This window comes from Homo sapiens, chromosome 1 (genome assembly GCF_000001405.40).
Source record: "Homo sapiens chromosome 1, GRCh38.p14 Primary Assembly".
NCBI classification, from domain to species: domain Eukaryota; kingdom Metazoa; phylum Chordata; class Mammalia; order Primates; family Hominidae; genus Homo; species Homo sapiens.
The window spans coordinates 60,544,438-60,569,873 of record NC_000001.11 but is presented as its reverse complement, the minus strand read 5'-3'; the positions used below and the strand labels follow the sequence as shown (position 1 = coordinate 60,569,873).

Here is a 25,436-nt window from a genome sequence, read left to right as displayed (position 1 = left end):
GTTAGACATCTGGCCCAGTGCAGTTAGTTTATATTTCTCAGAAGTTCGAATTAAAGGAATAAAGGGTAAGGGAGTTGGCCCCTGAGTTGTGTAAATGGTAGAACACAGATGTCCATCTGTGTTGCTCAGGTCTCTGGGAAGGCTTTATTTTTGACCTTCTTGAGACCTGATTGTTCATTTTTGCTTTTAGATTTCAGTGAGGTCTTAAGAGAATTCGATAGGCTTCTGTTTCTTGCAGCAACATTTCCATAAGAAACAGCTATGTAGATGGGGAGACATACAAACCAAAACCTGTACTTCAGTGTGTTCAGTACCATAGTAGAGGTTTGGGCAGGTTGCTATGTCAACAAAGAGGGAGTTCCTTAAACCTGGTCTAGGAATGTCAGAGGAAGCTTGCAGGAGGCATCAGCTAAACTGAGTCATGACAGAAAAGTAATAATTACCTTGGTGAGAAATGGTAGGGAGAAGAAAGTCAGGTTTAGGCAGCATGAACAAGCCAAGTGGAATGCAAAAGAGCAGGTATATTCTGGGAAGCACAAGTGTAGTATGATTGGAGCTCAAATAACAAGATGATGAAGTGGTAGGTAAGCACATAGAGAAGCAGGTAGTAGCCAGACTACGGGGTGTCTGCCGCTAAGGTGTTAGGAGTGGGGGCTTTACCTTGTAGGCTTCTCACCTGCTGAATGACCAGTTTTGATCCTTTCTCTGAAGGGATCCAAACCACATCTTCAGGCACCTTTTAGTTATTTCATGATTCTTTCTTTAGGAGTGACCCAAGGCAAACTTACAAAAAGAAGCACATGGCATGTGGAAAGAAGAGAAGATTCAAAATCAGTAGTCAGGATTTGAGCCTCTTCTCTTCTGCTTTCTAGCTGAAAAATGTCGAACAAAGAATTCAACATTACTTTTCTGAGCCTCTCTTTCCTCTTCTATGGAATGGAAGTAATAAAATATCTACCTCCCAGAGTTGTAGTTCAGACCCAACACATATATTTTTAGTGCTCTATCATATGTTAGTTTCTGAACTTTGCTCTTTCTCAGGAAGCATCCCACTGAATTAAAAACATCTGTTGAGTTAAATACTATTGTCTCTTCAATCAAATGGAGAAATTGAGGCTAATGAAGATAAAGAGCCTTGTTCCATTTCATACATCTAGAAGTAGAAGAGCTGGTATTAAAAATCCTACCTGTTGGACTTTATATCAGGTGCTCTTTTCCCAAACTACAGCTGCTTTATAAAGAAGCAAATGATAATTTTTAAAACAACACAATAGCAAAGCCATGGAATCAACTCAGTTTCCCATCAACTGTGGATTGGATAAAGAAAATGTGGTACATGTATATCATGGAATACTATGCAGACATAAAGAAGAACAAAATCGTGGCTTTTGCAGCAACATGGATGCAGCTGGAGGCCATTACTCTGAGTGAACTAACGCAGAAACAGAAAACCAAATACCCTTTGTTCTCCCTAATAAGTGGGAGCAAAACGATGGTACACGTGGACATACAGATGGGAACAGCAGACACTGCGGACAATTAGAGAGGGGAGAGAGGGAGGAGGGCAAGGGTTGAAAAATGACACATTTTATTACCTGGGTGATGGATTCATTTGTACTCCAAACCTCAACATCACTCAGTATACCTTTATAACAAATCTACACATGCACCCTCCGATTCGAAAATAGAAGTTGAAAAAAACTGTATTTTCTCTAAAAAATTTTGCTTATGTACTAGTTGGTGCCCTTCAAGTGGGAAAAATCCATGCCTGCTGAACTGTCACCTCTTTTTTTTTTGGAGGGCTTCTATTTTTCAAGTGCCCTGTGTCTTCTTGGGCTTGTTTTTTATTCTAGACAAAATGCTTCCACACACTGGGGGCTTTACCTGGCCTGCTCATGAAGGCATCATCTGGGTCCAAACTCCTTATTGGCTACTTATCAAAATGGATCTTTCTCTGCTCTTCTTTTGCATTAGATTCTTGCTAAGAACCTAGAATTTGCCTGATAGATTGACTTACCCTAAAGTTAAAAAGGCTTTTATTAGCTTATTTTATGGCTCTATATTGTGTATTTCCTTTTAAACAGAGGTTCCTTAGAGACTCAATTCCTTAATCCAGCATTTCTTAAGTTTGCTTTTGGGAAGGTTAGTACAAGAAGATGGTCTCTTTAAAAATAATTCTTGAGAATCACTATACTGGTTAACATATTAAAAGAACCAAGGAGTCCTACAGATTTTTAAAAAGCCTTTGCTTATTGATACTCTTTGGTTTGACTGCCAATTCTCTTTTTGTGGATCATCTGCTAATATCTAATAAATTTAGCATGACACAGAACAAATGTTGAGAAACAGTCAATAAAAAACTGTCTTTGTGAAAATTTTGGCATTGCACTATCTGGAAAAAGTGATTTTTGTGAGTAGAGCCATGTGAGTATGCTTCTAAAAACACAACATATTGGCATTATTCTCAGGAGTAGATCCAGGTTTTGTGGCACTTGAAGATTATACAGTTGATGGGTGACTAAGAAAAAAATTACTGTGTTAATCAAAATTTAGGTTTTGAAAGGGGCCTGTGTAAGCAAAGAGCCCACAGAGTAAGCTTCATTGTCTGTATTGTCAATCTACAAAAGACTGACCTTTTTCAAGTGAGTATAAACCTGGCCTGGCTTATGTTCATGTGGTGAGTGAAAGAATAGTAAACCAGGAAGAAGAAGGCTTATGTCCTTGGTCAGAATTGTCCATTTTACTTCAATTCCCTAGACTCTGTGACTTTGGATAAGTCACTTTATTTCTCATCATCAGTGACTTTATTTTTAGAAAGGGGTATTAATTGTCCTCTGGATGATAAAGAGTCATTTTGAAATTATAATTAATGGGGAAGCATTTAGCACTATACAAATAGAGGTTATGATTCTTTTCAAAATGCTTATTAATTCTGAGGACTACACATATGTTAACAATCATTATTGCTAACATATCAAATAAAAACAAATCTGGACTTAAGTAAATGGAGATTTTATTTTTAAAATATTGCAATAGAAAAGGTAGACAATTGCAATAGATTAATGACCCTAAGATCTCCATCTCAAATGTCAGGCAGAGGACAGCTTTTTTTGTTCTTTATGGCAAGGAATAAACAAGGCTAGAAAGAACAGGTATGGGGCGTGGAAAGTGGGTAAGTGAGTGGCATGATGAGACAGTTGATATCCCTTCCCCTGTCTCCCCATTTCAGCTGATTTTCAGGAGGGGACAGTAAGGAGAGGTTGCTCCAAGTTCCATTGCTCAGCAGAGGATCAAAGATAAGAGACCTGGGGAGAGGTGAGACACTTGAGTATAGTTTAAGCAAATCAAATTGGTAGGCATTTTGTCCAGGTTGGTGAGTGGAAAGAAACAGTTAAGCTAATCATTTATGAGGCAAAGGGTGGGAATTTGGAGGATCTGTGTCCAGCCTTGTCAAAGGCAAAAAAGGAGTCATTCACAGGTCTTTTTTAAGTTATGTGCAGAAGAGTAGTTCTTTGCAGTAAGCTATTCTTGGGGTACATATTAGGATAAGGGAATGTCTTAACTTTTGCTGTTTTCCAGGAGCACAGGGCTCAGGTAAAGTTCAATATTATCAAATATCAACACCATCATTGCTTTTCTTGTGTCTGGTCAGTCATTCAAAATGCTGTATCTTTGGAAAAATTACTTAACTTTTCAGACCTTCAGTTTTCTCATCAGCAAAATGAGAATAATTATAATAATAACTAGCTCACTAGGATACGGTGATTCTTGAATGACCTAATGACTATGCAAGCACCTCATAAGCTATAAATATTGTGGAAATATTATGCATTTTTTTGTTGTCATTGTTAGTAGCTCTATAGGCTCTGACTTCTTCATTTATTTGATGCAGCAAAAATGGGGAAGGGATGAAACATTGTTTAAATGAATCCTAGATACCAGACACAGGGGTGCCCCATACTCTTTCTCTCACCAGGTGCATACAACCCTGAATTGTCATGTGCATGAAATCATCTACTTTCATCCAAGGAATATGGAAAAGAGATGGGCAAAGAGATAACTCAGCTACATTTGCCTGTTAATAATTGATTTATTTTACTCTGGAAGCAATTAGCTTGTTGTTCCATATAGTTTTTTTGAAAAAGGCAAAGGAAAAGATAAAGAGGAGAAAAAAAATCCCATCAAGCCCATATTGCACGTTGGCTGCCAACAATGTTTCTTTTAAAAATAAAATAAAATGTTCTGTTGTAGATTTTTTTTTTCCTTTTGGAAAGATACAGGAATTGCAAAGAGAGTGCCAGACAGCACTAGCATATGCTTATTTTTCTAACTCAATGTGGGCAGCCTTTCTTAAACATTTTGTATAAATATATTTATTCTCCCACTGAGACCTTGCCTGCCAGGTTCAGGAACAACTGAGTAAGCAGATGAGTTATAAACCAAGGAAAGAAAAGGAAGAATTGCCATGGAAATGCTGATGGCCCCTTTATTCCAGTTGAGTACATTGCCCCAGTATAATAAATTAGTGGTTGATGTGTTGATGATAAATCTATAGCAGTTTTCATATTCAAAGTAAAAGATATTTCACTCTGTCTTTGCTGCAGAAATAATCAGAAAGCAAGGAAATGTTGACATCCGGTGGGCAGGATTGAAAAAAACACACACACAAAAACCCTTTGGTGCACAACCCACATTTGCAAGCTGTCTGCATTTCTTGTATTGGCCTCAGCTTTGACAAATGTAAAAAAGTCACTAATATTTTGACACTCTCCCTGCCCAAGTCTGATACCAGCTGGCTGTGAAGCCACATATTCATTGTTCTGCTGGATTTTAAAGACTGGGTCCCAGCCAAAGGACTGGACTGGATCCATTCATTCATTTTGAAGATTGAAGTTGCAGCTTAACTGTAATGACCATTTCTCAACTCAATCTGGGAACCTCTTCCAAATCCAACAGATGCCTGAGAGGCAAATGTGCATTTGGATTGGAAACCACTCTCTCTGAGAAAGAAACAAAAGGTGATCCTTGAATCTGAAAACAATTCCTTGTTTTAAGAGCAACTATCATTCTTTATATTGATTGTGCCTTATTTTTAAAAAATGCTCATGTTATTAGAACCTTTGTAAAAATGCTTATCTTACTATTTTAAGTGAAAGGGAAAATTTAAATTGCAGATGCAGTATGACAACAATTATGGAAAATTATGCCCAGAAAAAAAAAATTGGCAGAAAACACACAAAATGTCAAAAACTTTAACGGGAAAGATCTTTAAGGTTATGGTGAGCTTTTTCTTTTACTTTCACGTACTTTTCTTCTATATCAAGTTTTACATTTATAATTGGGGAAAAATAAACTGTTTGTTTCTTTGGACATGTGCTCTGTTTCTTTTATTCTTACTGTATTTTGAGCTCTGGTGACCATATTGTTCTAGTAATCACAGGCAACTATTGCTCAAGTGAGCTACAGCCTTGGAAAATAAAACCATTCTATAATCTACAAAAAATTCTTTGCGTTCTACATCTAAAAAATGCTCCCCTGCTGTGTGTTCCTGCTGTACCATTTTTCCAGTCACTTAATAATTGGAGACATTAACCCTGATCACTTGCAAATTTTCCATTTAAATTTATTTTTAGGTAAACAGATGCTTGGGAAAACTGCCACCATAGGGATGTAGGAGAAAGGAAGTTATAACTTGATCCTGAAATCATTTGAGGGAATTATTTCCAAAGCATAATAAGACGCTTATATATTTGAGTGTCAGAGTAATCTGGGAGAATGGATTTATATTAATTTTTTCATGTAAATATAGTGTGTCTTTATTATGTGCAGATCCTATGTGAAGGCTTTGTTTGTACTATTTCATGTAGCCCTCATAAAACTTTATAAAATATGTAATGTCATCACTTTTCAGTTGAGGAAACTGATACTTAGATGGATTAAAAATTTGAAACTCCACCACTCTGATTCCAGCTCATGCTAGAATTTTACGCTTTAGCTATTGGCTTTTGTAATCAGGAAGACTTGCCTTCTGATCTCAGTGCGTCAGAAGGATCACTTAGAAGCTGGTGACTCCAGTTTTCTCATCAGTAAAATGGGGACAAGAAAATCAAAGACAAAGGTAATAAAATCCGTGCAGTTGCAAGGATGAAAGTAGTTAATGCCATCAGCATCAGTTGGAGAAAATCCCTCTGATTCCAGGGCATCTCTTCCAAGTAAAAACTACCAAAATGAGCTTAGAGATAGGCATCTCTGGAAATGTTTCCTTGTCCTGCCTGTAAAAATTTGACAGTATTTCTCCACAGACTGTAGCCATATCCAACCCCCTGGCTCGCACAGCACTGATTAAAAAACGGATTGCCAGCAGTCATCTGTGATTGTCTACCATGAAGTGCTGCTCTTCTCTTCCTCCACCCAATTGCCCCATGCACTATTCATGAGTTCTACAATATTCCAAACTTTAATTTCCACAGATTAATTCTCACTAATTATTCACCATATGAACCTTCGCAGGAGAATTCCACTGGAAGCTCTTCCATCCTGAGGCAGGGAAGGCAATGTCGAATCGTTTTTTGATTTCAAGTGGAAAACAAACTAATTATGTGGAAATATGATAATAGATTGCGCTGCAGGGACCAGTCCTCTGCAGGCTTCAAAATGTTTGCTTATGATCAGCTCTTCATGTTATTTCTTCCAGGAGGAGCTGCCCTTTCATAATACATCAACATTATTGACTGGCCTGTGATTCCTTACTTGGAGTTAAGATAATTTGCATAATTGTATATTACTTCCGTCTGGTAGAAACAAACAAGATGTTTGGGTGCTAATGATCAGGCAAGCAGCGGTGACTGCCGGGAAAAATAGCATTAGTAAAGTCCAAAAACAACGAAGAACAGCTTCTCTCCTTGGCATCTTTCATCACTTTCTTTGACGTAACTCTGTTCCACTTGGCCACAGGCATTGTTTCTTATCTGGTTGTCCAAGCTTAGGAGGTGATCTGGCTAGACATATATTCCAAATCTGCAAAAATATAAAGCACTGTTAGGCTGTGAACTTTCATACTTTGTATTTGCTTAGGTCACTTCTTCTGCCTAAGCATGAATCTCTTCCTTCTTCTCTCTGGCAGAAATGGTCTTATCCTTTGATAAGGTCTTATCAGCATTTGTGCTGATCCTCCTTTTGATACCCCCCAACTTTTCCACCTACTGTGCATCATTCTTGAAAGGAAAACCATATCAAATGAACAGAGTAGATACAGGAGGCACAAAGTAGGTGCTAACCACATACATTCTCACTCATTCAATTAATAGTTTTTGAGCTTTACAATTTGCTAGTTGTATTCTTGTCACTTCGAATAGAGGAGCTAACAAGTAGGACAAAAACAAATCCTCCTTTCTTTTAATTCAACAACACTTCTCTGTTGTAATTCATATCCCTATTTAGCAATTATTCATTTGGACTTGTAGTACATCTGATAGAGTGATAGTTTACTTGTCTCTATAACTCCATGACCAGACACACAGTAAGTGCTAAATAAATGTCTGTTAAATAGACTTGATATTTCAAAAGAGTGGATCATGCAACCTATTTGATGTATTAAATCAAGTATACAGATAGGGGTACATTACTTGCCAGCTCTATATGATTGGTAGTGGCTGCATCAAATGCTGAGAAAAGAATTTTGAGGCTGTATATGTTCAGTGGAAAAGTTTTTTGTGATTGATTAGTAATGTCTGCAATGAAAATATTAATGGAGAATAGCAAACCACATGTCAAGTGATTATTGCATTCTTGCTAAAAAAAATTTAACCTTGGGCATCTTCAAGAGACTTAATAGCTATACATACGTGCTGGAGAGGATGTGGAGAAATAGGAACACTTTTACACTGATTGGTGGGACTGTAAACTAATTCAACCATTGTGGAAGTCAGTGTGGCGATTCCTCAGGGATCTAGAACTAGAAATACCATTTGACCCAGCCATCCCATTACTGGGTATATACCCAAAGGATTATAAATCATGCTGCTATAAAGACACATGCACACGTATGTTTATTGCAGCACTATTCACAATAGCAAAGACTTGGAACCAACCCAAATGTCCAACAGTGATAGACTGGATTAAGAAAATGTGGCACATATACACCATGGAATACTATGCAGCCATAAAAAAGGATGAGTTCATGTCCTTTGTAGGGACATGGATGAAGCTGGAAACCATCATTCTCAGCAAACTATCTCAAGGACAAAAAACCGAACACCGCATGTTCTCACTCATAGGTGGGAACTGAACAATGAGAACATGTGGACACAGGAAGGGGAACATCACACACCGGGGCCTGTTGTGGGGTGGGGGGACGGGGGAAGGATAGCATTAGGAGATATACCTGATGTTAAATGACGAGTTAATGGGTGCAGCACACCAACATGGCACACGTATACATATGTAACCAACCTGCATGTTGTTCACATGTACCCTAATACTTAAAGTATTAAAAAAAAAATGTGTTCAGTGGGTGGAGTTGATGAGTTTTTCAGGTTGCCTACAGTTCAAGTGTTAAACAGGTTATGATCTACCAAGATGGTTGCAATATTATGGTTTTGGACATTAAACCCTTGAAATAAAACATTTTGATTTACTCTCTATGGAAGTAATAAGATCTGCCATTATTGGGCTAGACACCTTCCATGTATTATCCTATTGAATTAGTCCCAGCAACACTGCACATTAGGTAATTTTAATCCCATTTTACTGATGTAGAAACCAAAGCTCAGAAATGTGACCAAGATAAAAAAGATTATGAATGGAAAATAGAAAATTTAAGTCCAGTTTGTCCTGACTCCAAAGTATATGCGTTCCCCGTGTATTCCCAAGGCAAATTGTTATTTAGTTCTTCCAGTCTAACATGTATTGCTATGCATTTCAGAGAAAGTGGCCCTTTGACCTAGTGGACAATGAGACAAACAAATGTGAAGCATTCCAATGATTGTGGTCTTTGTGGGTGCTAGAGGAGCAGGGACCGTCTGTAAGGGTGTATGTGCAGACAGATTGAAGTGGGAAAGTGGCTTCAAATAGAAAAAGGTTGAAAATGGAAAATAACTCCTTTCATTGAGTGTATTTTTCATGCCAGGAGTTGGGTTACTTACTGAATGGTGAAGACTTTTAAGGATGAGCATTATCATCTCCATTTCTCAGAATAAGAAAATACAAGCTCAGATAAATTGAGTAACTAGATTAATGAAAAGAGGGATCTAGTTTATTCTATTTGTCCACTACTGTATCCCTAATTCAGTATCACATCTTCTGCCTGGCACAAATTAGACACTAAACAAACAAATAAATATAGAGAAATATATATATATATATATATATATATGAGATATTTATTTATTTATTTATTTATCTATCTATCTATTTAGAGACAGAGTCTCGCTCTATTGCCCAGGCTGGAGTCAGTGGTGCAATCTCCACTCACTGCAACCTCTGCCTCCCAGGTTCAAGTGATTCTCCTGCCTCAGCCTCCCGAGTAACTGGGACTACAGGTGCACGCCACCATGCCTGGCTAATTTTCGTATTTTTAGTAGAGATGGGGTTTCACCATATTGGCCAGGCTGGTCTCGAACTCCTGACCTCGTGATTCGCCTGCCTCAGCCTCCCAAAATGCTGGGATTACAGGTGTAAGCCACAGTGCCTGGCCAAGAAATATTTTTTTTATGAAAAAGGTTAATGAGAAATAATCCAGGTTTTGGCCAGGCACGGTGGCGCATGCCTGTAATCCCAACACTCTGGGAGGCCGAGGTGGGCAGATCACGAGGTCAGGAGATCGAGACCATCCTGGCTAACATGGTGAAACCTTGCCTCTACTAAAAAATACAAAACAAACAAACAAACAAAAAAGCCAGGCATGGTGGTGGGCGCCTGTAGTCCCAGCTACTCTGGAGGTGGAGCTTGCAGTGAGCAGAGATTGCACCACTGCACTCAGCCTGGGTGACACAGCAAGACTCCATCTCAAAAAAAAAAAAAAAAAAAAAAAAAAAAAAAGAAATAATCCAGGTTTTAAATCCAGGTCTATTCAACTCCAAAGCCTGTGCTATTGCTATCATGCCAGGCACCCCTTGGGGAGTTTAAAATGTGCTTGAGACTTTGAAACAAGTTCCATCTTTCCAGTATAACTTCTTACACAGCTGCATCAATGCAGCTGGATTTTTGGAAAAATGTTTATAAGAAGGCTTGGCAGGTTTCTTGTACATTAACTATCCTTACAAAATAATATTTTGATGGATTACATGTAAATGAATCAGAAACATATGGCTTCCATTTCCTTTAGAATGCTCACACGCAGATCATTTTTATGTGTTTGGTGAAATGGATTTTCCTGTATGCCACTTCCCCGTGCCTCTCTCCTTTCATCCCCCAGTGCATTATATCCAAGAAGACAGGAAGATCTTCTAAGAATTTCACAGAAACTTTGAACCAGAAACAGAGATGGAAGCATCTCTACTTCTGACTACACAACATAGATGAATTTTCCTTTCATTTCCAATAGCAGAGACAACTACAGTAAGGAAAGTTAGGAGATTGTCTAGGACTTCCCTAAACTGTGAACCTCTCATCACAATATACCCTTTTACTCAACTTGGAAATGCTTAACACTCAGTCAATGCAGATGAGGAGATTTCCTCTTCATGTTCACAATGTTAAATGATGTAAACATTACACTGTAAATGTGTACATATTTTGAGCCATTTTTTAAAAAAGAATTTGCTTTGGGGTACTATATCTGAGAAACTGACTGGAATGGGCTTTTCAGATACTTGTTTAGAAAGCGTAATAGCTATTATGCAGTCTGTGAAATATAAAATGCACCCATCATGATGTCATAGCAAATACAGTAACTGCAACATACACACCACTTCACTAGGGCTGCAGAATGAAATGATGACCAAATGGACCACAAGGAAAATTGGTACTATCCAATTAAGCTTTTGCTTTTTGTATTTATTCTCAAAGCCAGTTTCTACATCATAATGGTTGTCCTTAATATTCAACTTAGATCAATTTAGAAGGTAAGGTATCTATGGTTAGTGGTTTATAACAAAAGGGTATTATAATATTCAACTAGATATGTTAGACTTTACAAGGCACTTGTACATTCTATAAGTTGGAAAGAACAGGGTCATGGCAGAAAATATGATCCTATTCCAGTTAGAAAAGAGGTAACTTCAAAAGAAAGTAAAGTGTACAGGTTTCACCTAAGCCCATAAACGTCACAAACTCACATGTCTCAGGATCAAGGTAAATGGGTGAATGTAGTTTTGATGAAATTCAGTCAGGTTTGTTGGGGGCTGTGAAAAGCAGAAGTGAGTTCAATCTGCCTGTAACATATTCAAACCCACAAGTTTTAAATCACTAGAGGCAGATAGATTTCTGAATCACAGAAATAAATATGACTTTGGATATCTGGTTTTTAACCTCTGTGACCAGTCATCACTGTGCAAAACTTTGTCTCTTACATCTGCAAACATTTCCTCTACTTTCCACCCTTGTCTACTTCCTCCAGGCTGTCTTCATCTACAAATGGGATGACTTGACTGGCAGTAGCGAGTTGGCCTGAATTTACTCTTAAGAATAGTGAACAGTAGTGAGGTTCTACCTTTTTCCTTCTCCAATTACCTTCTCTCCTCTCATATAATGTATGTTTTCAGGAAAGGATCTGATCGTGTTCAAAGCAATGTGATTTATATCCAGGAAAAGGAGTTTCATTTGGAGAAAAGAAAGCACCAGAGTCATGTTTTCAGATTGGAAGGGCAAGGCTAGAATATTAAAGAGAGCAAGAAAAAAGGGCAATAATAAAGAAGGTGGATAAAAAGAGCAAGGAAATATCGTTTATCAATAAAGTTAATTTAATATAAACTATGTATTTTTAGTTCTTTGCTTAGGTTTTTCATCATAGTTCCGTATGGGGTCAATTGTCAGATATTCTGTGTGGCGTTCATTTGGAAAAGTATTACATCCTATCTCACAGAATTGCTTCATTGAGATGTGGTGTGATGTAATGGCTGAGATTATAGGCTTTGCAGTAAGAGATCTGTGTTTGAGATCTGGATTCCCAAATTTTCCTAAGGTTATATCATTTTTACATCATAGGATATTATCTGGTATTTATTCAAAATATTTATTGAATAGTTATTTTAGATATGTTAGATTTTACAAAGCACTTTTACATTCTTTGTCTTATGTACCCCAAAAATACCTTTGTTAAAACGGAAGGGAAAAAATAAGTAATACAATTTTTCACATTTGAGAAACACTAAGATAGAGATTCATAGAATTTATATGAGTTTATGAAGACCACAAAGCTAGTAAGTGTCAGAGTTGGGACTAAGAATCTGTATCTTCTAACTGTTAGACTGTATTTTTTCTGTAGTATACTTCAACAAAAGACTGGATAAAAAGTGTGGATGGGTCTGCTTATCCACCCAATAAAATGGAGGCAACTCAAAGGATTTCAGGACACATGAAATAGTGAAAATCATTTTTGTTTGCAAAATGGTTTGTCATTTTTGTTAGAAGAAAAAGATGTTAAAGAAAAGCTTTTTAGAGAACAGCATAGTAAAATCAGCAATCAGAAAGCTAGCTTACTTTTATATATTCGGATTCACTTTCACTTGGAATGAATTAAGTGCATAGCAATGAAACAAACCTCTGACTATAGTAAAATTAAACTCAAAGGGCATTGTTAAGGAATAGATGTTTGTGTTCCTCCAAATTCATTTGTTTGTCCCCCAAGCCCCAATCACATTGGGGGGTAATTAGGTTAAATGAGATCATGAGAGTAGAGCCCCAGAATGGGACTGGTGTTCTTATAAGATGCAGAAGCTGCTTCTCTTGACCATGTGAAGACACAGAGAGAAGGTGTGCAAGCCAGAAGGAGGGTCCTCACAAGGAATTAAATCTGCTGGCACATTAATCTTACACTTCCTAGGTTCCATAACTGTGAGCAATAAATACCTGCTGCTTAAGTCATCCAGTTGATTGTATTTTCTTATATGCATCTTGTAGAATATAAAATTCCTCCAGACATCTAAGATAAAATATTTCATTAGGGAAACAAACCTATAAAAAGAATCAAATAGAAAGTCCAGAAAACCTAAATGCGCATCAATAGTAGACTGCATAAAGAAAATGTGGCACATATATACCATGGAATACTATGCAGCCATAAAAAGGAACAAGATCATGTCCTTTGCAGGGACATGGATAGAGTTGGACATGGATGACATGAATGAGATCATGTCCTTTGCAGAGACATGGATAGAGATGGACAAATCCTCATGGATTAGTCCTCAGCAAACTAATGCAGGAACAGAAAACCAAATACCACCTGTTCTCACTTATAAGTTAGAGGTGAATGATGAGAACATATGGACACATGGGGTGGATACAACACACTCTGGGACCTGTCAGAGGGTGGGGCTGGGAGGAGGGAGAGCATCAGGAAGAATAGCTAATGGACGCTGGGCTTAATATCTAGCTGATGGAATGATCTGTGCAGCAAACCACCATGGCACATGTTTACCTATGTAACAAACCTGCACATCTTGCGCATGTACCCTGAACTTAAAATAAAAGTTAAAAAAGAAAGTCTACAGTGAAAAATGTAATTTATGAAATTAAACAGTTAATAGACTAGGCTTAAAGCAGATTGGACATAGAGGAAAGAAGGTTAAATGTACTGGAAGATAATTTCATAGAAAATATCAGAAATGCAGAGAGGAGAAAAGATGGACAATGTAGAAAAGAGTACAAGAGAATATGGAACATGGATGAAAGGTCTCATGTATGTGTAATTAGAGCCACAGTAGACGAGGAGTGATGGAGGGGAGAAGACAGTGGAAAAACAGTGTTTGAAAAACTACTGTCTTAGAATTTTCCAAAACTTAAAAAAAGACATCAAGCCACAGTAACGGAAGAAATCTGTAAACCTCAAGAAGAATCAATACAAAGAATTGTAGCAGATGTTTTGTGTGTACTTTACAGAAAATTGTTGAACATCTACATACGAAGATGAAGGGAAAACTTGAAAGCAGTCAGAGGAAAAAAAAGGACACATTACCTTCAAATGGACAATAAGATGGATGGCTAATTAAAATATTATTGCAGTATAATTGATGTTTGCTACATTGTACATATTTAAAGTGTACAATGTGATCATTTTCCACGTATGTATATACATGTAAAAGCATCACCGGAATAAAGATTACAAACATTTCTGTTACTCCTCAGAGTTCCTTATGCCACTGTGTAATCCAACCATCCTCTACCCCATCCCCAGAAAACTGATTTGCTTTCTGTTACTGTAATTAGTTTGGATATCCTATAATTTTTCATATGGATGGAAATGCAGTATGTATTTTGCCTGGCTTCTTTTACTCAGCATAGCAATTTTGAGATTTATTCATTTTGTTGCATGTATCAATAGTTCATTCCTTTTTATTAAGTAATGTTTCCTTGCATGATTACACCACAGTTTATCTATTCCTCTGTTGATGGACATTTGGACTATTTCAACTTTTGCCTATGAACATTTGTGTAAAATGAACATTTGTGTGAAAACCTTTGTGTTGACCTGTGTTTTTGATTTTCTGTGGTAAATACCTAGCAATAGAATGGTTGGATTCTTTAGTAGGTATATGTATGACTTTTTAAGAAACTGTCAGTTTTCTAAAGTGGTAGTGCCATTTTGTATTCCCTAAATGGCGAAACAGAATCCACCTGTTCTGCATCCTCATCAACACTTGATATTTTTAATTTTTAAAATTTTAGTCTTCCTAATAGGCTTGTAGCATATTTCATTATGGTTTTAATTTGAATATTATTTATGCCTAATGATGTTGAACATATTTTCAAGTGCCTTTTGACAATTACTATATCTTTATTTTAGAAGTGACTTTTAAAATCTTTGCCCATTTTATTAATGGGTTGTTAATCTTCTTATTTGTAAGAATGTTACATATTTGTGATAGAAGTCCTTTGATATATATGTTGCCGATACATATGTGCAACAGTCTCGCTCTGTTTGGAGAAGATGTACCATATAAACATACTATACACTACACATAATTTTCAAGTGCACAGTCTTGCTCTGTCACCCAGACTAGAGTAGAGTAGCACAATCATGGCTCACTGCAGCATTGACTGCCTAGGCTCAAGCTATCCTCCCACCTCAGCCCCCTCCACCCTCCTGAGTATCTCAGACCACAGGTGTGTGCCAGCATGCCAGGCTAATTTTTTAAAATTTTTTGTAGAGATGGGGTTGCACTATGCTGCCTGAGCTGGTCTGGAACTCCTGGGCTGTAATGATCCTCTGGCCTCCTCAGCCTCCCAAAATGTTGGGATTACAGGTATGAGCCACTGCACCCAGTCTATTTTGGAAATATTTTTTTGTGACTTGCCTTTTGGCATTCTTAATGACATATTTTTAAGTGCAAAACTTAAAATCTTAATGAGGTTCAATATATTATTTCTTTCCTTTATGGCTCATGTTCTTTGTGTTCTATCTAAGAAAACTTTGCCAACCTCCAAGGATAAAAAACATTTTCTCATATGCATTATTTTAGAGGTTTTGTTTTAGGTTTTACATTTAGTTTTGTGATCCATTTAGAGTACATTTTGTTTATGTAAGATCTGGTGTTCACTTTTGTATTGGTATCTAATTGATCCGACACCATTTGTTGAATGACTTTCATTTCCACCTTTAATTGGCTTGGCATCTTTGTCAGAAATCAACTGACCACATTTGTGCGGACCTACTTCTAAATTCGCTATTCTGTTACATATATATGTATATAAATATAATCACCAATAACAATAAAATATGTAACTATATATAAATAATATATATTAGCTAAATATATAAAATAATATTATAATATATAATAAATATAAATTACATATAAACAATATTTATTAGCTAAATATATTAAAATATATAATAAATATAAATTATATATTATATATAAATATAAATATATATATAAATAATATATATATTTTAGCTAATACCAAACTGTTTGGAATACTGAATCTTCCCAGTTAGTCTTGAAATCAGACAGTTTTTAAGTCCTCAAACTTTGTTTTTTTTTTTTGTAATTTTCAAAGTTGTTTAGCTATTCTAGGTCCTTTGCATTTTCACATAAATTTTAGGCTCAGCTTACTGATTCCTACAAAAGAAGGCTTTTGGAATTTTGATTAAAGTTGTGTTGAGTATGCTGATCACTCAGGTGAGAATTAATTGATAGAAGCTAGAAGATCATGGGGTAACAATTTTAAGTGCTAAAAGAAAATAATTAGCAGTGTAGAATTGTAATTACAATGAGAATATCCTCCAGAAGTTTAGGTGAAATTAAGATATTTTCAAACAAATCTATTGCAATTAGCCATTGCAGGTAAATCTACCAAAAGGAAATACCAAAGTGAATTATTCAGGCAAAGGAACATGCTCTAAGACAGAAGTATGAAAATGCAAAATAGAATAAAAAGTAACAAAAAGCGTAAATATATACAGTGGGTTTAAGTAAATATAGATTGTATAAAGCAATAACAGTTGGTTGTTTTATTTAACATAGATGTAGAGTTAAAGTTCATAACAACAGTAGCAAAAAAGATAGGATGAGGGTAAATTAAATATTCTAAAATCCTTGAATTTCCTGTTAAGTGATAACATTATTAACTTTTAGAAGACTCTGACCCGTAAGGATTTGTGTTGTAAACTGTGGGATAACCATAAAGAGAAAAATGAAAGAATTCATTCTTAGCCCACTGATAGAGAGAAAAAGGACTTAAAAGAATGTTCCACAAATTAAAGAAAACAATAAAAAGAGAAAAAGAACAAAAATTACAAAAAACAAAGAAAAATAAATCGTAGAATAGTAGATATTAACCCACACAAATCAGTAAGCACAAATTACATTATCAATATTCCAATAAAAAGTGAAAATATCTCAAGATGGATATTCAAGTGCAGGCTGTTTATAAAAGACTAATTTTAAGTATAAGGTCTCATTAACTATGGAGGTAAAAGTACGAGAGAAGATGTACTATACACATGTGCATACACTACATGTATACATGTGCTATACACTGCACATAATTTTCAAGTACACAGAAACATTTACCAAAGTTAATCCATATGCTATGCTGAAAAGCAAATCTTAACAAATTTTATCTACTTGAAACTATGTATAGGCTATTCACTGTCTGAAGCAGAATTAAGCTAGAAATCAATAGTAACAAAAAATGAAAACTAAACTTAAAAAATTAAAAAAAATTACCAAATATTTGAATTTTTTTTGAAGGACACGTGGGTCAAAGAAGAAATCACAGCCAAAATTAGAAAATATTTTTAACTAAATGGTAGTAAAAATATGACTGTCAAACTTGTAGGATGCAGATAAAGCTAGTAGGGTAAATGTATTCCCTTAAAATTCATATGGCAACATAAAAAAGTCTGAAACTAATGATCTATGTATTTATCTCAAGAAGATAGAAACATAATATCAGACCTCAGAAAGCTACAAGGAAGTAATTAATATGTATAAGCAGCAAAAAATATTGAAATATAAAATAAAACTATATAATACAGAACACCAAACAATCCAAAATATATTTTTTGATAAAACTAGTAAAACTGATTAACTTTCATCAGGATTTATAAAACAAGGAGAGAGAATGAAAGAAAGGTGCATAGCAGCAATAACAATAAAAGGGGACTTTACTACAGATAAATTCATTAGAGCAATCGTAAGTAGCTACTATAAACAACTTGATGCACAAACTTTGAAAATTTAGACAAAATGGATACATTCCTTGAAATATACAACTTAAATATACAACTTAAAGAAATTAGCAATGAAATAAATCAATATAAAATTTACCTGTATTTGTTAAAGAAATTGAATCCATAAATTATAAATCTTCTCACAAAGAAAAGTCTATGTCTAGATAGCTTTATGGGTGAACTCTTTTCAAAAGTCTATAAAAGAATTAACATCATTTCTTTTTTTTTTTAGATTTTTTTCTTTTTTTAAAAATTTTATTTATTATACTTTAAGTTTTAGGGTACATGTGCACATTGTGCAGGTTAGTTACATATGTATACATGTGCCATGCTGGTGCGCTGCACCCACTAACTCGTCATCTAGCATTAGGTATATCTCCCAGTGCTATCCCTCCCCCCCTACCCCCACCCCACCACAGTCCCCAGAGTGTGATATTCCCCTTCCTGTGTCCATGTGATCTCATTCTTCAATTCCCACCTATGAGTGAGAATATGTGGTGTTTGGTTTTTTGTTCTTGCGATAGTTTACTGAGAATGATGATTTCCAATTTCATCCATGTCCCTACAAAGGACATGAACTCATCCTTTTTTATGGCTGCATAGTATTCCATGGTGTATATGTGCCACATTTTCTTAATCCAGTCTATCATTGTTGGACATTTGGGTTGGTTCCAAGTCTTTGCTATTGTGAATAACGCCGCAATAAACATACGTGTGCATGTGTCTTTATAGCAGCATGATTTATAGTCCTTTGGGTATATACCCAGTAATGGGATGGCTGGGTCAAATGGTATTTCTAGTTCTAGATCCCTGAGGAATCGCCACACTGACTTCCACAATGGTTGAACTAGTTTACAGTCCCACCAACAGTGTAAAAGTGTTCCTATTTCTCCACATCCTCTCCAGCACCTGTTGTTTCCTTACTTTTTAATGATTGCCATTCTAACTGGTGTGAGATGGTATCTCATTGTGGTTTTGATTTGCATTTCTCTGATGGCCAGTGATGATGAGCATTTTTTCATGTGTTTTTTGGCTGCATAAATGTCTTCTTTTGAGAAGTGTCTGTTCATGTCCTTCGCCCACTTTTTGATGGGGTTGTTTGTTTTTTTCTTGTAAATTTGTTTGAGTTCATTGTAGATTCTGGATATTAGCCCTTTGTCAGATGAGTAGGTTGCAAAAATTTTCTCCCATTTTGTAGGTTGCCTGTTCACTCTGATGGTAGTTTCTTTTGCTGTGCAGAAGCTCTTTAGTTTAATTAGATCCCATTTGTCAATTTTGTCTTTGGTTGCCATTGCTTTTGGTGTTTTGGACAGAATTAACATCATTTCTACAAGAAACCTTTTCAGAGACTAGAAAAAGGGGAATTGGTTTTAACTTATTTGCAGTGATCAGCATAACCTTGAAACCAAGATACAATAAAGCATATTACAAGAAAGAAAAATTACAGGCCAATCTCTCTTGTAAACCGAGATACAGAAATTGTAGAGAAAAATATTAGAAAACAGACTTCCCAATCATAAAAAAGGATAATACATCACAATCAAGTTGGCTTTATGTAGGAATAAAAGTTTGTTTGACATTTGAAAATCAATCATTGCATTAAGAAAATAAAAGGGAAAAATCACAGTTATCTCAAAAGGTTAAGGAAAAGTCAACACTACCTACGATAAAAAAGAAATTTCTTAGCAAACTGAAAACCAAAGATTTATAACTACGAATAGAAGGATATTACTTAAACTTATAGGTATCTATTAGAAACATACTTATTCATGGAATGTTGAAAGTTTCCCCCTTGAAATTGGAAGCAAGATGATTATTTGTTATTTCAACCACTTTTCAACATTTTCTGAAGTTCCTATCCAATGAAATAAGGTGAGACCAAAGTCAATAAAAGGCTTAAGGACTAAAAAGAAAAAAGAAAACTTTCATTTTTCAGAGAAATAAAGCCCAAACTGTTGAAGTTAATAATTGAATTTAACAATAATGGGAGATTCAAAGTCCATAAACAAAAATTAATTATATTTCTATAAATTGGAAACAATTAAAAAATTAGAGATAAATTTAATGAATTATTTGAGAACTTTACACAGAAAAGTACAAAATATTACTGAGAGAAATTAAAGAAACTTGAAATAAATGGAAAGATTGTGCTCTTGAATTAAACCAGTCAATATTACAAATATCAATTTTCCCCAAATTGAATTCTGGTTTCAATGCAATTTCAATAATTATTCCAGTAAGTAGGGGTAGGATGTGGTGGAAGATGTGACCTCTGGTACAGAGGCCAATAAAGATGTGCTTACAGTCATTAGTAAGGATTTTAGATTTTATGTCCTAAGTCTGCATTTCCGTGAAGCCTGATCATTTATCCTATTACTAAGACTTTGACCCAATTTCTTGAAAAATAACAATTCTGGCCACATATTGATAAGAATTGCTTTGTCTCCTCTATACCTTGGGTTTATATTATAAAGAAAGAATCATCCTATAGATTCAGGCACAAATGGCTTCTCTATAACCAGCATATGTTCTTTTTTCCCTGACCTAGATGGGAAAGGTTAGTAGGTTGAAGGGAAGGTATGTGCAATTCATCATAGTGCAGAAAGCTCTCCTGGACTTGAGTGTGGAAGGGGCATGTGCAAAGCAAGAGTGGAAGCAGGAAGGTCAGTGAAGAGGCCATTTCAGTCAGTGGTCCAATGAGATAATGAAGAACTGAAAGGCAATATGGATTCCTAAGTAGCTCACAAAACAGATATCTAGTCTGATCGAAATGAAAGTCACACAGCATAAAGAGACCTGGTATTCTACATTTCAAATTCATGGCCTCTACAATGTGCCCCTTGCAAGTGACATTTCCAGTGACTCCAACAAAGAGGCCCCAGTACAATCAGCCAGGGATTGACAAGGGAAGTTTGGCCGATTGTTGCACGTTTTCTCTCATTGACATCTCTCCCAGTGGGCAACTGGTGGGGATACTGTACTGTCTTCAATGTGGAATTAAGGCACAGTCCCATAAGCCTTTATAAGAGTTTGAGGATGTATACAAAGGAACTCTGGAAAATCATACAATGGCAATGGATGATAGTATTATGGCCAAATCTCATGTTTCAGTGAGGACCAAAGTGTTAACCAAGGCCACATAATGCAAAAAGCATAGGCTTGGGAGTGGGACAGGTCCCAGCACCACCACAGCCAAACTGCAATTTCAAGTCAACTACATCACCTTGCTGAGACTCTATTTCTTTACCATGAAATAAACATCATAATAGTTTACATGCAGAAGGACAGGTTGATCAGGAAGGGCTGAGTCCTAGGATGCACTAGACCAGCCTGGTAAAGATGCTTAGTAAGACTTACAGAAACATGGTGTTATTGCTGATCTCAAAGACCCAATGCCTTGAGATCAGTAATCTGGCAGTTTCAGCCAATTCACTATAAATGAAGGAGAAATAGCAAATTAGAATATATCTGCGTAGATGCTTAAAATTTTCCAGGGTGTGGAAAGAAATGAAGAGGGAAATTCCTGGCCAGTTACTGAAGTTCTCATTAAAGGTGAATTATCTGGAGGTCAGTTGAAGACAATAATAAGATGAGGTCTGGATGTTACAGCTGCATTACTCTGGAATTCACTCTCCTTTAATAAGCAATGATCTCTTGTACCTCTGTGCTATTGCACATTCATGTTCCTCTACCGAGAACAATTTTTGCTTCTATATTTGATTAACTCTTACTTGTTCTTTAAAAACGGCTGTACACATAGCTACCAGGTGGTTAGTGGTACTGTGTAAAGTGAATTACATATACTTTCCGGAGTGTGTTAGGAGTCATGTGAAAGTGACAGAAACCTAACCAAAATGGCTTAAACAAACAGAGCTTTGAGTGGCTCAGGATGCAGGAGTGGTTCTTGCCAGGGATCTGTTTCTCCTGGTCTCATGGCTCTTCCTGTTTCTCTGTTGGCTTCAGGCTCAAGCTGGCCCTGGCACTAGCAGCTCCAGCCAACTCTACTGAAAAGAACTCTCCTTTCCCATTCATTCTAGCAACAATTCTAGGGTCAGTTTAGGTCATGTGCAGATCGCTGAACCAATCTCTATAGGATGTAGTAATCTAACTGGACAGGCCTGGGTCCTAAACCAGTCCAGGAGCCCAGAAGCCCGGGAAGTGATTTCACGGTTCATGATTACTGTTTTGTTTGATTGTGTTTCTCCGCTATACTGACAGCTCCACAAGGGCTTACTGCACTTCAGAGCTCACAGGACTGTATCAAGGTGGCAGAGGGTTGTGGTTAGGTTAGTAGAGGCAGGAGGCACAGTAGTTGAGAGAATAGACTCCAGAGACAGACGGTCTTGGTCAGAATTCAGGCTCTGGCAGCTTGGAGTAATCACTTATTCTTCTTGTGCCTGTTTCTTCATCTCTAAAATGGGAATAATAATAATAGTACTTAAATCATAGGGTCACAGTGAGTATTAAATGAATTAAGACACACAAAGTGTTTATAATCGTACCTGGAACTTTTTGAGACTATACACACACACACACACACACACACACACACATTTGAGAATGTGTGTGTCTGTGTATGTATTCATATGTTGCTTAATGATGGGGCTATGCTCTGAGAAATGCATCATTAGGCCATTTAATCATTGTGCGAACATATCATAGATCAAGTTTGTCCAACCTGCGGTTTGTAGGCCACATGCAGCAGGACAGCTTTAAATGTGGCCTAACACAAATTTGTAAACTTTCCTAAAACATTGTGAGTTTTTTTGTGATTTTCTTTAGCTTATCAGCTATTATTAGTGTTAGTGTATTTTATGTGTGGCCCAAGACAATTCTTCTTCTTCCAGTGTGCCCAGGGAAGCCAAAAGACTGGACACCCCTGTCATAGAGTGTACTTACACAAACCTAGATGGTATATATACCCCACTATATACCTAGACTATATGACATAGTCTATTGCCCTTAGGTTACAAATCTGTACAGCATGTTACTATACTGAACACTGCAGGCAGTTGTAACACAGTGGTAAGTATTTGTGTATTAAACCTATCTAAACATAGGAAAGGTACACTAAAAATACCGTATTATAATCTTATGGGACTACTTTTGTATATGCAGTCATTGTTGACCAAAATGTCATTATATGATGTATGACTGAATATCATTATATACATTTATAATGTGTTTCTTACTACAACATTCTTGGGATTTAGCATAGTAGTATATACTTTATGTTTTTAGTTAATAAATATTACTCTTCTCCAAAATCCTAAGAATTTAGTAATTTGATTTTCATTTTACAGATGAAGAAAAGTGAGGCATAGAAAGGTCAAGTAACTTGTTCAAGGTCATATAGCTAGTGATTATTTGAGGTGACATTGATCTTAGATCTGTCTGACTGCAGAGTCTGGGCACTTAAACACCTCACTAATCAGCTTTTGAGACTTAGCTTCACTATAAACACTTCTGGAAGAATGTTCTTAGTGCCAGCACCTGCCATGATGAGAGATTTTCTCCTCTCTGTGTTTCTCTTATGTGCCAGTTTGTGTCTCTGATGATAGGGTTTGCACTTTTCTCATCTGAATCTCTAGGTGCCAACACAGAGTCATTGGGCTTGACCTGTTAGGTGTCAGTAATTGTTAGTTAAATAAATGAGTGTCAAATGATGATGTGGAAGGCATCCAGGAGTATGAAGAATAAGTTAATTCCTCCTCTTACCTTTGGAAGACAGCCTGTGGGAGACTTTTCTTTTGGGAAAGAGAGTAATGAAGGAGGTGGCGTGGTGGTGTCTTATTTATTCACAACAGAGAGGGTTTTGCAGATCACCGTGTAGTGAAACTGGCAGACGGATCAGCTGGCAAGGATCTTAGAGACTCTAAAATGCAATTTTCCATTTAACAAACAAGGGCAATAAAGCTCAGTGAGTGAAAGTGACTTGCCCATAGTCGCATCAGTCTGGAAAGGGCCAAAGTGAGAAGCTAGTCTTCTGAAGCCCCGTTACAGATTGTTAATATTATCACATATGATGAACAATGTAGGGAAATAAAACAGCCCAGGGGAAATAAAGAGATACTAGCTGTATGGGAAAGAGTTTGAAAATGAAAAAGAGAACATTAAACGTTTAGCAAATGAAGAAAAATGCACTAAGGACTGCAACAGGAAAAGAGACAGGGAAAAATTTATCAACTTAATGTATATCAGGCAGAAGTCAACCAACCTGGTGCTGGGCTTGGTTTTGGAGCAGGGAAGATACTCTCAGCTGTGTTGGAGTAGAATAGATTACTTGGCTACTCTGAAATAAATTCAGGTAGATGACCAGTCAATGTGAACTGCCCAGGAACACAGCAGATCCCAAGACTTCCTTTATTCTTTCCCTTGGAGAAAAGGTAAATGCTTGCAAAGGGCAGACACACTCTGACCCTGCCTGGTACCATGGAAAGAATGCAGGCGCTGGGTCCTACATCCTGGCTTTAATATTCTCTAGGTCTGCGGCATTGAGCAACCTACTTACCCTCCTTAAACCGGAGTAGTTCTCATTATAAAAAGGGGCTGTTAATTTTTAAATAAGAGGCTTGTGAGGGTTAAATGAGAGAGACTGTAAAATTCCTGTGATAGACGAGGTACTCAGCAAATGGCAGTTATTGCTATTACAGTCATGCATCATGTAATGAAGTGGGTAGGCTCTGACAAATACATCTGGGCAATTTTGATGTTGTGGGAACATCATCTAGTGTACTTAACACAAACCTAGGCTATGGCACAGCCTGTTGCCCTAGGCTACAAACCTGTACAGCACGTTACTGTACTGAATATTGTAGGCAATTGTAACACAATGGTAATAGTTATGTATCTAAACATATCTAAAAATAGAAAAGGTACAGTAAAAATAAAAATATAGTACTACAATCTTCTGGGACCACTGTAGTATATGTGGTCTGTCATTGAGGGAAACGTCGTTATGTGGTCCATGATGATAACTTCAAAGGGGATGGTGCTCATAGACAGAAATAAAACCATGTCCCATATAAGAAAACCAGGAAATGAGACAGAAGAAAATTGACCTTATTGAATACATTCTATAATTCCTTTTATCTTTCTACGAAAGGTTCTATTTTGTAGAAGGAAGAGGAGAAGGCATTGTATTGGAAGATGATTTTATGGTGGCTCTATTTAGAGCATTTTCTTTTCTGTCTCTGATACAAGGAAGACGTGTTTGAGGTCAGAGTGAGATCAACAGTTTCCAGAGGGGATTTATATCGTTTTGGTTATAAGCTTAAAAATGAAGTGTTAATTGGTCTATGCTAATTTATTTACCCTTTGATTTTTCTAAAACATTAAAAATGGCATATTAGAAGCAGCAGGTATATTCAAAGCTACGGATGAGAAAAGAAGAAAATCCATGAACAGCCACAGTAGAATAATAAAAACACAGCATTCTGGCCCACTTCGTGCATGGTAAAATGGCCAAATATATTTCATTAGCACCCAAGTGCGTAGTATGATCACTGATGCTCATACAGATTTTCTTAAATCACCAATTAAAGTTTCTACCTGTCTACACACTGAAAGGACAAAATATACAAATTTTATGAAAAACCAA

The 25,436-nt window shown here is 36.5% G+C and overlaps 1 long non-coding RNA gene across 1 annotated transcript in view; it reads left to right on the top strand.

The window, feature by feature from the left end:
• The window catches only part of LINC01748 (long intergenic non-protein coding RNA 1748), a 106,970-nt gene that overhangs the window by 52,812 nt on the left and 28,722 nt on the right, over positions 1 to 25,436 (top strand). The window lies entirely within an intron of this gene.